The 12,606-nt window shown below is 35.6% G+C and overlaps 1 protein-coding gene across 14 annotated transcripts in view; it reads right to left on the bottom strand.

The window, feature by feature from the left end:
* BABAM2 (BRISC and BRCA1 A complex member 2) overlaps positions 1 to 12,606 on the bottom strand; it is a 450,193-nt gene that overhangs the window by 348,647 nt on the left and 88,940 nt on the right. For all 14 annotated transcript variants that reach the window (NR_137438.2, NR_137440.2, NR_137439.2 and 11 more), the window contains one exon: positions 2,168 to 2,262. Coding sequence is in view for 10 of the 14 variants with exons in the window: in NM_001329112.1 (NP_001316041.1) it covers positions 2,168 to 2,262 (95 nt within the window). In the remaining 4 variants the exon portion in view is untranslated. The remainder of the gene's footprint in view (positions 1 to 2,167; positions 2,263 to 12,606) is intronic.

Below are 12,606 nucleotides of genomic sequence, written 5' to 3'. Positions count from 1 at the left end.
AGCAACCTTCAGAACTATTTGGACATCGCCCAACTAGTGGAGGGTATGCTCTGGTTGCTTATCTGGGCTTGCTCAGCCCGCTGATCCATGAAGAAGCCCTGGGTAGTCTACCCAAGGCCGTAGATGAACTATCACTAAGGAGAAGGTGTTCCCCTAGATTTGCAATCTTTCACTTAGATCTAGTGCTTTGATTTTTTCGGCTATTCTTTTTCAGCTATATTCTCAAAACATTTGTGATAACTTCACTCAGGGACTAAACATCTTAAGAGTGGTGTTATAATATCAGGTCTGACACAGAATTATATAAATCTAGGTCAATTTCCTCAATATTAAAATGGAAGATTAGAATAAAATGAATCTTAAGATCCTTTCTAGCATTTAAATTCTACACTTACACAATACTTGCCAAATATTAAAGATATGTGCTATGAATTTTAAATGCAATTTCAAAAAAAAAGAAGTTGTAAACATGACTTTTTTATTCTTTCCATTATGCTGTTTCTTCTTGCATCACCCTAGCTCAAAGCCCTTTCTCCCTCCACTGAATTTTTACAACTATCCTCAATTCTGGTCTTCGATCTCTCCTTATTCCATTATATTGACCACACTGCTATTAGATGATTCTCCCTTCATCATTTCCTTCAATGGCTCCTAGCCCAGCATTCAATGTGCCCCACAGTCTTCTCCCAATTTACCTTTCTAACCTTGTTGATCCCTTCCTTATATTGACTTACATTTCAGCAAACCTGTCAGTGCCTTCTGAAATACATTAGACAAATCCTAGCTACTTCCAATGTGCTTATGTCATTCCCCCAATGTGCTTATGTCATTCCCCCACCTGAAATACTCTTTGTCATACCTCCCACTTTTGTTCCATTCTTCAAGAATGAGTACAAGTCTCGCCTCAACTACAAAGCTTTTTCTGACCACCTTTAAATTCCTGAGGCACTTAGCCTGGAATACATCTTTGGCATCCAGCATATGCCACCCTCCTCTGGGCAGACTTAATACAGAAGAAGTCTGTGGTGAAATCTCTGTGTCATTTTTTTTTCCAGGTTTAAGACTCTCAGCTTTAATATGGGGTGAATACGTAACACACAGCATCTAAAGGGGCCATATTGAACTCAGATTTTTTTAATTAAAAAAATTACAGCTGATGTTCAATTATTAGAAACTTCACCACGAATCCACCTTACTCTTGCCAACAATATTTTTACAGCTATGTTCTAATGTTTAAGACAATACTTTAGGTTTGGGTTACTACTTCCTGTTTAATACCTTTAAAGGGTGGAAGCAGGGCAAGAGTTCAAAGTAAGTCATCAAAACTTTTAACAATAAAACTTGAATAAGACAAAAAATTTCCAGGAAACGAAACTAAGAGTATAGTTTTGAACAACTATAAAACCTCTTCTAGTATAGGTATCATACCAAACTCAAATTTGAGAAGAAATAAAAAGAGACATTTTGTCTGGTCAGAACCATTTAAACAAAATGGCATGTGTTTTTCTCCATCCACCATGCAAAACACACAACTTTTTTAGTAAGTACGTATGCTTACTAAAGCATATGTGCTCCAACAAGTACCACCACCCTTTCCCTAATGGTGAATATTTCTGCTTTAATTCCAGAAACATTTTATTTCAACTACAAAGTTTCTGGTGTTGCTTGATAAAGAACACTTAATCTGGTCTTTACCCTTCTGATAACAATACTGAGATACTGAGATAATGCGGATACAAGTCCAAATTTGCCACTTTCACTTCTATATAAAAACGGCTCCTTGAAGAGCCAAGAAACACTCTCCTAACGAGCCCTGTAATGAAGTGTTAGTAAACATTAGAAAATTGATTGCAGGCATGATATATTATGTTAAAACAAAGAAAATATTTTCAACATGTCTCTTTAAACTGAAGTAAAAATATTTCAACCAATATGCTAGAGACTTTCATTAATTCGAAATACCCTGAAACTAAACAGCAATGAAAAAAACCTCTTATTTAACTACTATGGCACATAAAGAGTTCCATCTATTTCACAGGACAGAGAAAAGAGGGGTGGGAAAAAAATGCAGATGTGTGACAAATCTATCTGTTAAGCAACTGCTGAAAGCCAATTTTGTTTTCCTTTCACCAAAGAAAGATCATTCAAGCAAGTCTGCAGTACTCACCTGCAAAGCTGAGGGGTCTGGCAGGAATTCAGCATCTTCTCCAAAGATAAAATCGGGAGGCAGTTCTGGGTATTGGGCATTGAAAATGATATCCCCTGAAATAAAAGAAAATGACAGGTCCTTTTTATTTCCTTTCTAAGTATGAATATTCTGAAGACTGTATCAGAAAAACTTCTAAAAGAAATTTACATTAGTTTAAGAAAACCATTTGAAAAGCACTTTCCAGATGATTAATTCTTCAAATAAACTGATATCTTTTTTTTTTTTTTTTTTGAGACAGGGTCTCACTTTGTCATCCAGACTGGAGTGCAACGGTGTCATCTTGACTCACTGCAGCCTCGACCTCCCAGGCTCAAGCAATTCTCCCATCTCAGCCCCCCAAGGAGCTGAGCCTACAGGAACATGTCACCATGCCCAGATAATTTTTGTATTTTTATTAGAGATGGGGTTTCGCCATGTTGTGCAGGCTGGTCTCGAACTCCTGAGCTCAAGCGATCAACCCACCTCAGCCTCCCAAAGTGCTGGGATTATAGGTGTGAGCCACTATCCCAGGCCTGCTATCCTTTTTCAATTTAACATCCACAACAAGCAATCAAAAAAGCTTTATCTCCAAGTACACTGTGAATGTAAATATCCAAGGAGAAAAGTAGAAGCAGCCACATCCAAAATATGTACTGATTATTTTTACAGGTAACATTACTGTCCAATCACTGCCTGCTAATTAATTAGTAAGCCTTTACGAAGACTGATTCTGTATAGACACAGTCTTTGCCTTGCAGAAATTAAACATACATACTTTTGTATAATGGAAAGAACATATGGCTTATAGTTCACAAAAACTTAGATTTATATCCACAAGGTCTCCTCATTATTTATTAGCTCAAGTGATCTTGAGCAAGTTTTAACTTCTTTAGACTTCAGTTTCTTCATCAGTAAGAAGTAGATATAATAGTACTAATGTCACAGATTTATTGTGACGATAAAAAGAGATGGCATGCCTAGCAGTGTCCAGCATATAGTAAGTTCTCAACATGTGATAATGGAAGTATTACTTTTGTTTTGAAACATAAGACAAATTTACAAAGTCTCATTAGCAAATTTAGATTGCAAGTTCTTCTACCTGTTTCTTTTCTGAATTCTTCTGTAGCTCCCTTTTTTCCTCTGCTCATCCCAAGAATCAGCTCTTATCATTATGCTAATACTAACAAGTAGATTAGTTTATCGACAATCTAACACACATATTGAGTTGTAATGTATAAAAATATGTATACTTGTGTACATGTATACCACCTCTGTACACATACATACATAACAGCTTTATCAATCCAATCATTTTTACTGCTCAAACAGTATCTATAAAATTTTATCCAAATGTAAACATTTAAACTTCAGTTCTCATTTGAGTCCTTAAATATCTATGTACTAGGCATTTCAATGTCAAACTCAGCAAGACTAAAACATGATGATGACTCTCCCTTTTCTCACTCCTCTCGTTCCCTGATTCCATGCTAAAACTTCAGTGTCATCTTCAACCTTTCATACACCCTGTATACTCTTAGAAAATAAGTCATCTCAATTTTTCCTCCAAAATGTCACTCATATGGATTTTTCCTACTGTTAACAGCCCCTTCCAGGCCCAGATCACCTAGTCCATACATTCACTCATCCACCGAATAAATATTTGAACTTTGCCATAGCCACTATGATAGGCATTAAAGATCAAACAAAAAAAAAACCCTGCTATTAAAAGCTGACAGACTAAAGAAACTCAATCATTATCATACCTTTTAAAATGATCTCCTAATACTAGCTGCCCTCCAGTCCATAATACATATTATCACCAAGTAAATATTCTTAATGTGCTATTTTGTCCCAAAACTTCCTAACTCAAGAAACTTAAATGAGTCTCTAATATCAAATGGAGTAAAAGCAAACTTTTCAAACTGATATCCACCCTTCTCTTTATCTACAAGCCTGTCTTTTCTTCCAGTCAATATGATCTGCTCAATGCCCTCCAAATACTATGACATCAAATACTATATCTCTCTCCTTGCTCAGTTCTTACCATCCTTTATGAGCCCACTAAATTGTCTCTTGTATGAAGCCTACCCTAATAAATCCAGAACACACAGATCATTGTTACTTCTGAAATTAAAATCCTGACTAATTACGCCATTCACTTTAGTATTTAGTTGTAAGTAGTCTTATATTGTTTTATTGCTCTATTAATTTTAAAAAATCATAATAAACACAAGCTACCTGTGAGATACTGTGACACGCTGTGTCAATACAAAGATATTTATTCTCAAGGAGCTCATGTTTAGTGAGGGATATAAGACATAGACCCAGAGCCACAAATACACAGCGGTACAAGGTGAGTACATATAATTGATCTTCCTAATTAAATTGTAAGCATCCACAGAACAGACATGTTTTTATACTTATTTAATGTTTCTGACAGGGGAAAGTACAGCACAAATAGAATATATTCAATAAACACTCAATAAATTAAAGAAATTCTATTCTCTGAACTGAACGTCTAAGTGCTGAAAAAAATCTTCAGTGAAGAATAAGGCATAGCAACAAACATATGAAAAAATGCTCAACATCACCCATTATCAGGGAAATGCAAATCAAAACCACAATACGATTACCACCTTACTCATGCAAGAATGGCCATAATCAAAAAAATATTAATAATAGATGTTGGCGCAGATGTGGTGAAAGGGGACACTTTTACACTGCTGGTGGGAATGTAAACTTGTACAACCACTATGGAAAACAGTGTGGAGATTCCTTAAAGAACTAAAAGTAGAAATACCATTTGATCCACAATCCCACCACTGGGTATCTACCTGGAGGAAAAGGAGTCATTATACAAAAAAGATACTTGCACACGCATGCTTATAGCAGCACAATTCACAATTGCAAAACTATGGAACCAGCCCAAATGCCCATCAGTCAACAAGCGGATAAAGAAATCGTAGCTACACACACACACACACACACACACACACACACACACACACATCATGGAATACTACTAAGCCATAAAAAGAAACAAAATAATGGCATTTGCAGCAACCTGGATGGAATTGGAGACGATTATTCTAAGTGAAGTAACTCAGGAATGGAAAACCAAACATTGTATGCTCTCACACATAAGTGGGAGCTAAGCTTTGAAGATGCAAAGGCGTAAGAATGACTTAATGGACTTTGGGGACTCGAGGGAAAGGGTGGGAGGAGGTGAGGGATAAAAGACTACACACTGAGTACAGTCTACACTACTCTGGTGATGGGTGCACCTAAATCTCAGAAATCACCGCTAAAGAATTTATTCATGTAACCAAACACCACCTGTTCCCCAAAAACCTACTGGAATAAAAAATAAAAATAAAATAAAATGTGAGAAATGCAACACACAAAAAAAACTAAAAATAAAATATATTTTTATTTAAAAAAAGAAGAAGAAGTCATAGCAAAGTCACTCCTGGAGCTTCTGTAGGGAAGAAATTTAAACAAGAAAATGTATCCTTCAGAAGACAGGTATAAAATTAAATTATCAAAAGTAGTACAACCACCTCCTCTCACCCTAGCCACTATCATCATCTCAGATGATCAATTGTATCTATGATAAATCATAAAATTCAAAAGTGCTAACTATAAGGCATTAACTCAAGCCTTGGCTAAAAAGCACAAGTAGAGATAATATGAATGTCCTGATTACTCATTCTTTCAAATATACACAGCAAGCATATTCTTTAGGAAGGAACATACTTTAGAGATGTGTTTTTAAAAGTCCTATAGTTGGCTTACTTTAGTTACTTTAGGAAAAAAAATCAAAAAGTTAACAGAGCAAAGATATCAAAGTTTTGAAAAATGCCAATCTAGGATCTATTGTCCCTTGACATTCTAAAAATAAATAACATGCTAAATTCCAATAAAAGAAATTTTATCACTTTTGCTGCTATAGAAGAATGGCTGCATTTTCAAGTTCACAAAGGAACACTGCTAGTAATAAATATTTCCAAACTGGTAAACATTGAAAAAATCTACTTAAAGGAATATCCATTCTGGTTGATTCTATTCAACATTATACTGGAGGCTCTAGCAAGAACAATTTGGCAAAAAAAAAAAAAAAAAAAGGTACAAAATGTATCTACATTGGAAAAAAGCAAAACTATCTCTATCTACAGATGACATAAATCTTGCATGTAAAAAATCCCAATGAATCCACACAAACAATGAGAACTAATAAACAGCTTCAGCAAGGTTGCAAGATACAAGATAAATGTACAAAAATCAACCGCATTTCTGTACAACAGTAATTAACGATCCAAAAATAATTTTTTAAAATTCCATTTACAATGAGATCAAAAAGAACAAAATACTTAGGAATAAACTTAACAAAAGAAGTATAAGAAATGTACACTAGCAACTACACAACATTGTTTGAAGAAATTAAAAAAGGCCTAAATAAATGGAAAGACATCTCATGTTTGTCAACTAGAAGACTTACTATTGTTAAAATGGCAACACAACCCAAGTTGATCTGTAGATCCCATGCAATCCCTACCAAAGCCCTAGCTGGACTCTTTGCAGAAATTGACAAGCCAATCCTAAAAATCATATGAAAATGGAAGGGATGCAAATAGCCAAAGAAATATTTAAAAATAATTTGCAGGCGTTCTCAATTATAAAAGTTGTTACAAAGCTACAGCAATGAAGACAATGTGGTGCTGGAATATGGATAGGAATACAGATCAATGGAACAGAATTCAGAGTCCATAAATAAACCTTCAAATTTATGGCCTACTGATTTTTGACAAGGGTGCCAACACAATTCAATGGGGCAAAAAAGTATTTTCATCATCTCACACTCATTAGAAGAGCTACTATCAAACAAAAAAATAACAAGGGTGGGTGAGAACATGAAGAAATTGGAACCCCTTGGAAGTGCTGGTGGGAATGTAAAATGGTACAGCCACTATAGGAAACACAGTGGTAATTCCACACAAAAAAATTAAAAATTAACATATGATCCAGAAATCTACTTCTGAGAATATACCCTAAGTAGCTAAAAGGAGATTATCAGAGATATTTGCACACATCTGTTCACAGCAACATGATTCACAATAGCCAAAGAGTAGAAGCAACCCAATTGTCCACAAACAGATGAATGGATAAACCAAATGTGACATATATGTGTGTGTGTGTGTGTGTGTGTGTGTGTGTGTGTGTGTACACATAATGAAATATTATTCAGCCTTAAAAGGAGAAAAATTTTAAAACATGCTACAACATGAATGAATATTGACGACATCAAGTAAAATAGTCACAAAAAGACAAATACTATAATGACTCCACTTATACGAAACACCTGAAGTAGTGTGTTTCATAAAAGTACACTACTGAAGTGTACACTTAAAAATGGTTAATATGGTAAATTTTGTTAAGTATATTTTATCCCAATTAAATGGGTTTTTTAAGCATCTTTTCAACAAATGGTGATGGGACAACTGGAAAGCCACAGGCAAAAGAATGAAGTTGGGCCCCTACCTCATATCATGCAAAAATTAACTCAAAATGAATCAAAGACCTAAGTGTAACAGCAAAAAACTACAAGATTCTTCAAGGAAACATAAGAATAAATCTTTATAACTTTGGGCTAGGCAATGCTTTCTCAGACATGAAACCAAAATCAAGCAACAACAACAAAAATAGATAAATTAAACTTCATCAAAATTAAAAATTTTGGCCTTCAAATGAGACTATCTAGAAAGTGAAGACAATCCACAGGGAGATAATTTTGCAAATCACATAGCTAATAAAGGACTTGTACCCAGAACAAAGAAATCTCACAAGTCAACAATATAAAGGCAAATACCCCAATTTTAAAAGGGCAAAGGGTCTGAACAGGTATTTCTCCAAGAAGATATACAAATGTCAAATAAATACATAGAAAGATGTTCAAGATCATTAGCCAACAGGGAAGTGCAATCAAAATCACAGTAAGATAGCTCTTAATTACCCACTTGGATGGCTATAATCAAAAAGACATATAATAATAAGTGTTTATGAAAATATGAAGAAACTGGAACACTTATACACTGCTGGTGTGAATGCAAAATGGTGCAGTCACTTTTGAAAACAGTCTGGCAGTTCCTCAAGAGGTTAAACATAGAGCTACCATCTGACCCTACAAATCCACTCGTAGGTATACATATACCCAACAGAAGTGAAGACATGTCCACACAAAAACTTGCACATTGTTTGTACCAGCATTATGCACAATCGCCAAAAAGTGGAAACAACTAATGTCCGTCAACTGATGAATGAATAAATTGTGACATTATACATGTAATGGAATATTATTCAAATTTGAAAGAAAGTACTGATATAATGCTCCAATGTGGATAAACCTTGAAAACATTAAGCTAAGTGAAATGAGCCAGACACAAAAGGCTACTTATTGTATTATTATTGTATGAATCTATTTATATGAAATGTCTAGAATATGAAAATTCATAGAGACAGAAAGTAGATTAATGGTTGCCAGACAATGGGGAACAGGAGAATGGGAAGCGACTGCTAACTGGTACAAGCTTTCTTTTTGTGATGATAAATATTTTCTGAAATTAGTGATGGTTGTACAACTTTGTGACTATATTTGTAAAAAGCCACTGAATTGTATACTTTAGAGGGTAAACTGCACGGTATGTAATTGTATCTCAATAAAGCTGTTTTTATTTTTAATCTCATGCAAAAAATTGTCCCACTTTAAAAAAACCTGATCTTAAATAAATTACAAAGTGTTTACTGAATAGTTGTGACACAGTTACTTTTATAAATAAAATCATATTAAAAATGCAATGTGAAGAGTTTCTGCATTTAAAAGAACTCTGCAATGAGCCCTTTATAAAAGTAAAGAATGCTTTTTAAGATAAATACTTGCAAAGATCTTTATTTTTAAGGAACTTTACAAAATGTGTCTTTTTAATGGACACGACTGGATAATGTTAAAGACAGACTTTTTAAATTTTTAACTATTATAGATATATAATGCTGTACTTATTTATGGGGTATATGTGATATTTTCATACAAGCACATAATGTATAAAAATCAAATTAAGGAAATTGAGATATCCATCACCCCAAGCACTTATCATTTCTTTGTGTTAAGAAAATTCCAATTCCACTCTTTATTTTGAAATACACAATAAATTACTGTTAACTATACTCACCCTATTGTGCTGCCAAACACTAGATCTTATTACTTCTACAGCTGATTTTTCAATAAATTTTAAGGCAACCAACCAGTATTTGAATATATAATAAAGTTTTTTTTTTTTAAGGAAAAGATATGTACTAAAAGGGGAGGAAGTTTACTACATTACATGTAATAAAAACATTATATAAATATTTTTCAAAACAAAGAAGTAACTTAAAATAGCTTTCAGAATCTCACATAGTTATGTTCCAGAATTTCTCAGGCTCCTACCTTCAACCTCAGAGAACTGTGAAACACTTTGCCTCAATACTGTACAGCCTCTTTGAAATAAACTGTGGCATTGTTCTCTTGCTATGCAGAACAGTCAGTAAATCAGTCAAGAACATTTATTAAAAACCCACAACGCACAGATGTGCATACTGGACACCTGGGGAGTTATACAGGAAGTAGAAAACATAGTACCTGACCTCAAGGCAGAGACAGTAGAGAAAAGACCAACACAAATCATATAGAAGAGCAATAACATCACATTTCCTTTATTTCACCCTGGAGCAGATGATATGAACACAGAGTACAGATTACCTGGACACTGCTTACTCCAACTTTTCATAAAATGGAAGAGTATGCAGGAGAACAAAGAAATAAAAGCAGGATCAGAGGTGCTATAAGGCGAGGTTTAAAAAAAAGGAAGAAGTGTTACAACCACCTAACAACAAAATAAGAGTTTCAAGTCTTATTTTTCATTACTCCCTGAAACTTGCCAGGCTATAACAGTGGGAGCAATGGGGGCAGAAGTTCCTTCCTTTCAAAATGCACATCAACAGTGCTTTATAATATGACACATACATGAAATCACAGAAATGTTAAATACAAAGTAGATTTTATTTACACGCTTGTGCCTTAGCAGCTGACAATTTTTAGAAGGTATCAGCACCATCTCAGGAAGGCTCACTTACCAGATATGCAGAGTGGACCATATCTCCTACTCCCTAATTACAGAAGGAACACAGCCTGTCCACAGGATACTTGCCTTATTCCTCACCAGTGAAATATTATCATACTATTTTGTCTATCAGTTTCAATAACTGCCAGGAAAACATAGTTTCTAAGAAACAATTCAATACTAATACAACTAATACAATCACTAATCATTAGAGAAATACACATCAAAACCACGAGATACCATCTAACATCAGTCAGAATGGCTATTACTAAAAAGTCAAAAAATAACAAAATGCTGGTGAGGCTGCACAGAAAAGGAAATGCTTACACACTGTTGGTGGGAACATAAACTAGTTCAGCCACTGTGGAAAGCAGTTTGGAGATTTCTCAAAGAACTTAAAATAGAGCTACCATTCAACCCTGCAATCCCATTACTGTGTATATACCCAAAAGAATATAAATCATTCTATGAAAAAAACACATATACTCATATGTTCATTGCAGCACTATTCACAATAGCAAAGACTTGGAATCATCCTAGATGCCCATCAAGAGTGAATCTGATAAAGAAAATGTACATAGGCCAGGCGCAGTGGCTCACACCTGTAATCTCAGCACTTTGTGAGGCTGAGGCAGATGGATCACCTGAGGTGAGGAGTTCGAGACCAGCCTGGTTAACATGGCGAAACCACGTCTCTACTAAACAAAAAAATACAAAAATTGGCTGGGCATGGTGGCGCATGCCTGTAGTCTCAGCTACTTGGGAGGCTAAGGCAGGAGAATTGCTTGAATCCAGGGGGTGGAGGTTGCAGTGAGCCGAGATTGTGCCGCTGCACTCCAGCCTGGGCAACAGAGTAAGACTCCATCTCAAAAAAAAAAAAAGAAAAAAAGAAAATGTGGTACATATACACCATGGAATACTACACAGCCATAAAAAAGAATGAGATCATGTCCTTTGCAGCAATATGGATGTAGCTGGAGGCTATTATCCTACCAAACTAACCAGGAACAGAAAGCCAAATACCACATGTTCTCACTTGTAAGTGGAAGCTAAACATTGGAGTATACATGGACACAAAGAGGGGAATAATAGACACTGGGGCCTACTTGAGGGTGGAGGGTGAGAGGAGGGTGATGGTCAAAAACCTACCAATCGGGTACTTTGCTCACTATCTAGGTGACTAAATCTTTTGTACACCAAACCCCAGTGATATGCAATTTACCCACGTAACAAACCTGCACATGTAACCCCAGAACCTAAAATGAAACTTGAAAAAGAAAAAAAGAAAAAGGTAAATGACTGGTTTTCTGCCAATGATAGATTATTCTTATCAGTTGCTGCATTAAATGATTACTGACTGAAACTCCAAGTATGGAAGTGAGAGTCAGACAAGAACTTTGTGGAAACGCCAGTTTGAAGGAGATAGTCTCAACAAAAAGTAAGTTCAAGCAATAGAGTTTGTGTCCGTCCATTTTTGCATCACTATAAAGAACTAACCGAGGACTGGATAATTTATAAAAAGAGGTTTAATTGGCTCACAGTTCTGCAGGCTGTACAGGAAGCATGGTGCCAGCATCTGCTTCTGGCAAAGACCTCAGCAAGCTTACAATCATGGCAGGAGGTGAAGGGAGAGCAGGCACATCACAAGATGAGAGTGGCAGTGAGAGCAAGAGGAGGTGCCACGCTCTTTTAAACAACCAGATCTCACATGAAGTCAGAGCAAGAACTCTTTCATTATCACAAGGACAGCACCACACCATTCATGAGGGATCCACCCCCATGACCCAAACACTTCCCACTAGGCTCACCTCCAACACTGGAGGTCACATTTCAACATGATATTTGGAGGTGACACATATCCAAACCATTTCAGAGCTTTACGAAAAACTTTGAAGAGGTGACTCATTTCCAAGAGTTAGCTCTAACCCTTAGTGTGTCCTTACACTGAAATTTAATATCTCTCTGAAAATTCCATTTGCTGGTTCTGAGAACTTTATGGGACAAGTTTAATTTATCTGTAATATCACAGCCCTTCAATTATTTGAAGGCAGTTCTCGTGACCTATCTTTCAACCCCACTAGGAGTCACCTCTTAGACAGGCTTACTATCCCAGTCTCCTTCACTATTCCTCATCTGACTTGTTTCAATTTCCTTCATCATTTGGCTCTCTCCTCTCTGAATATGTACCAGTTTGTCTATAGCTCTCTTAGAGGATAACACCCAGATCTCAAGATAAGATTCTAGGTGTGTTCTAAAGAGCACAGA

Source organism: Homo sapiens, chromosome 2, assembly GCF_000001405.40.
Source record: "Homo sapiens chromosome 2, GRCh38.p14 Primary Assembly".
NCBI classification, from domain to species: Eukaryota; Metazoa; Chordata; class Mammalia; order Primates; family Hominidae; genus Homo; species Homo sapiens.
The sequence above is the reverse complement of the archived record's forward strand: the minus strand, read 5'-3'. Positions and strand labels throughout refer to the sequence as shown.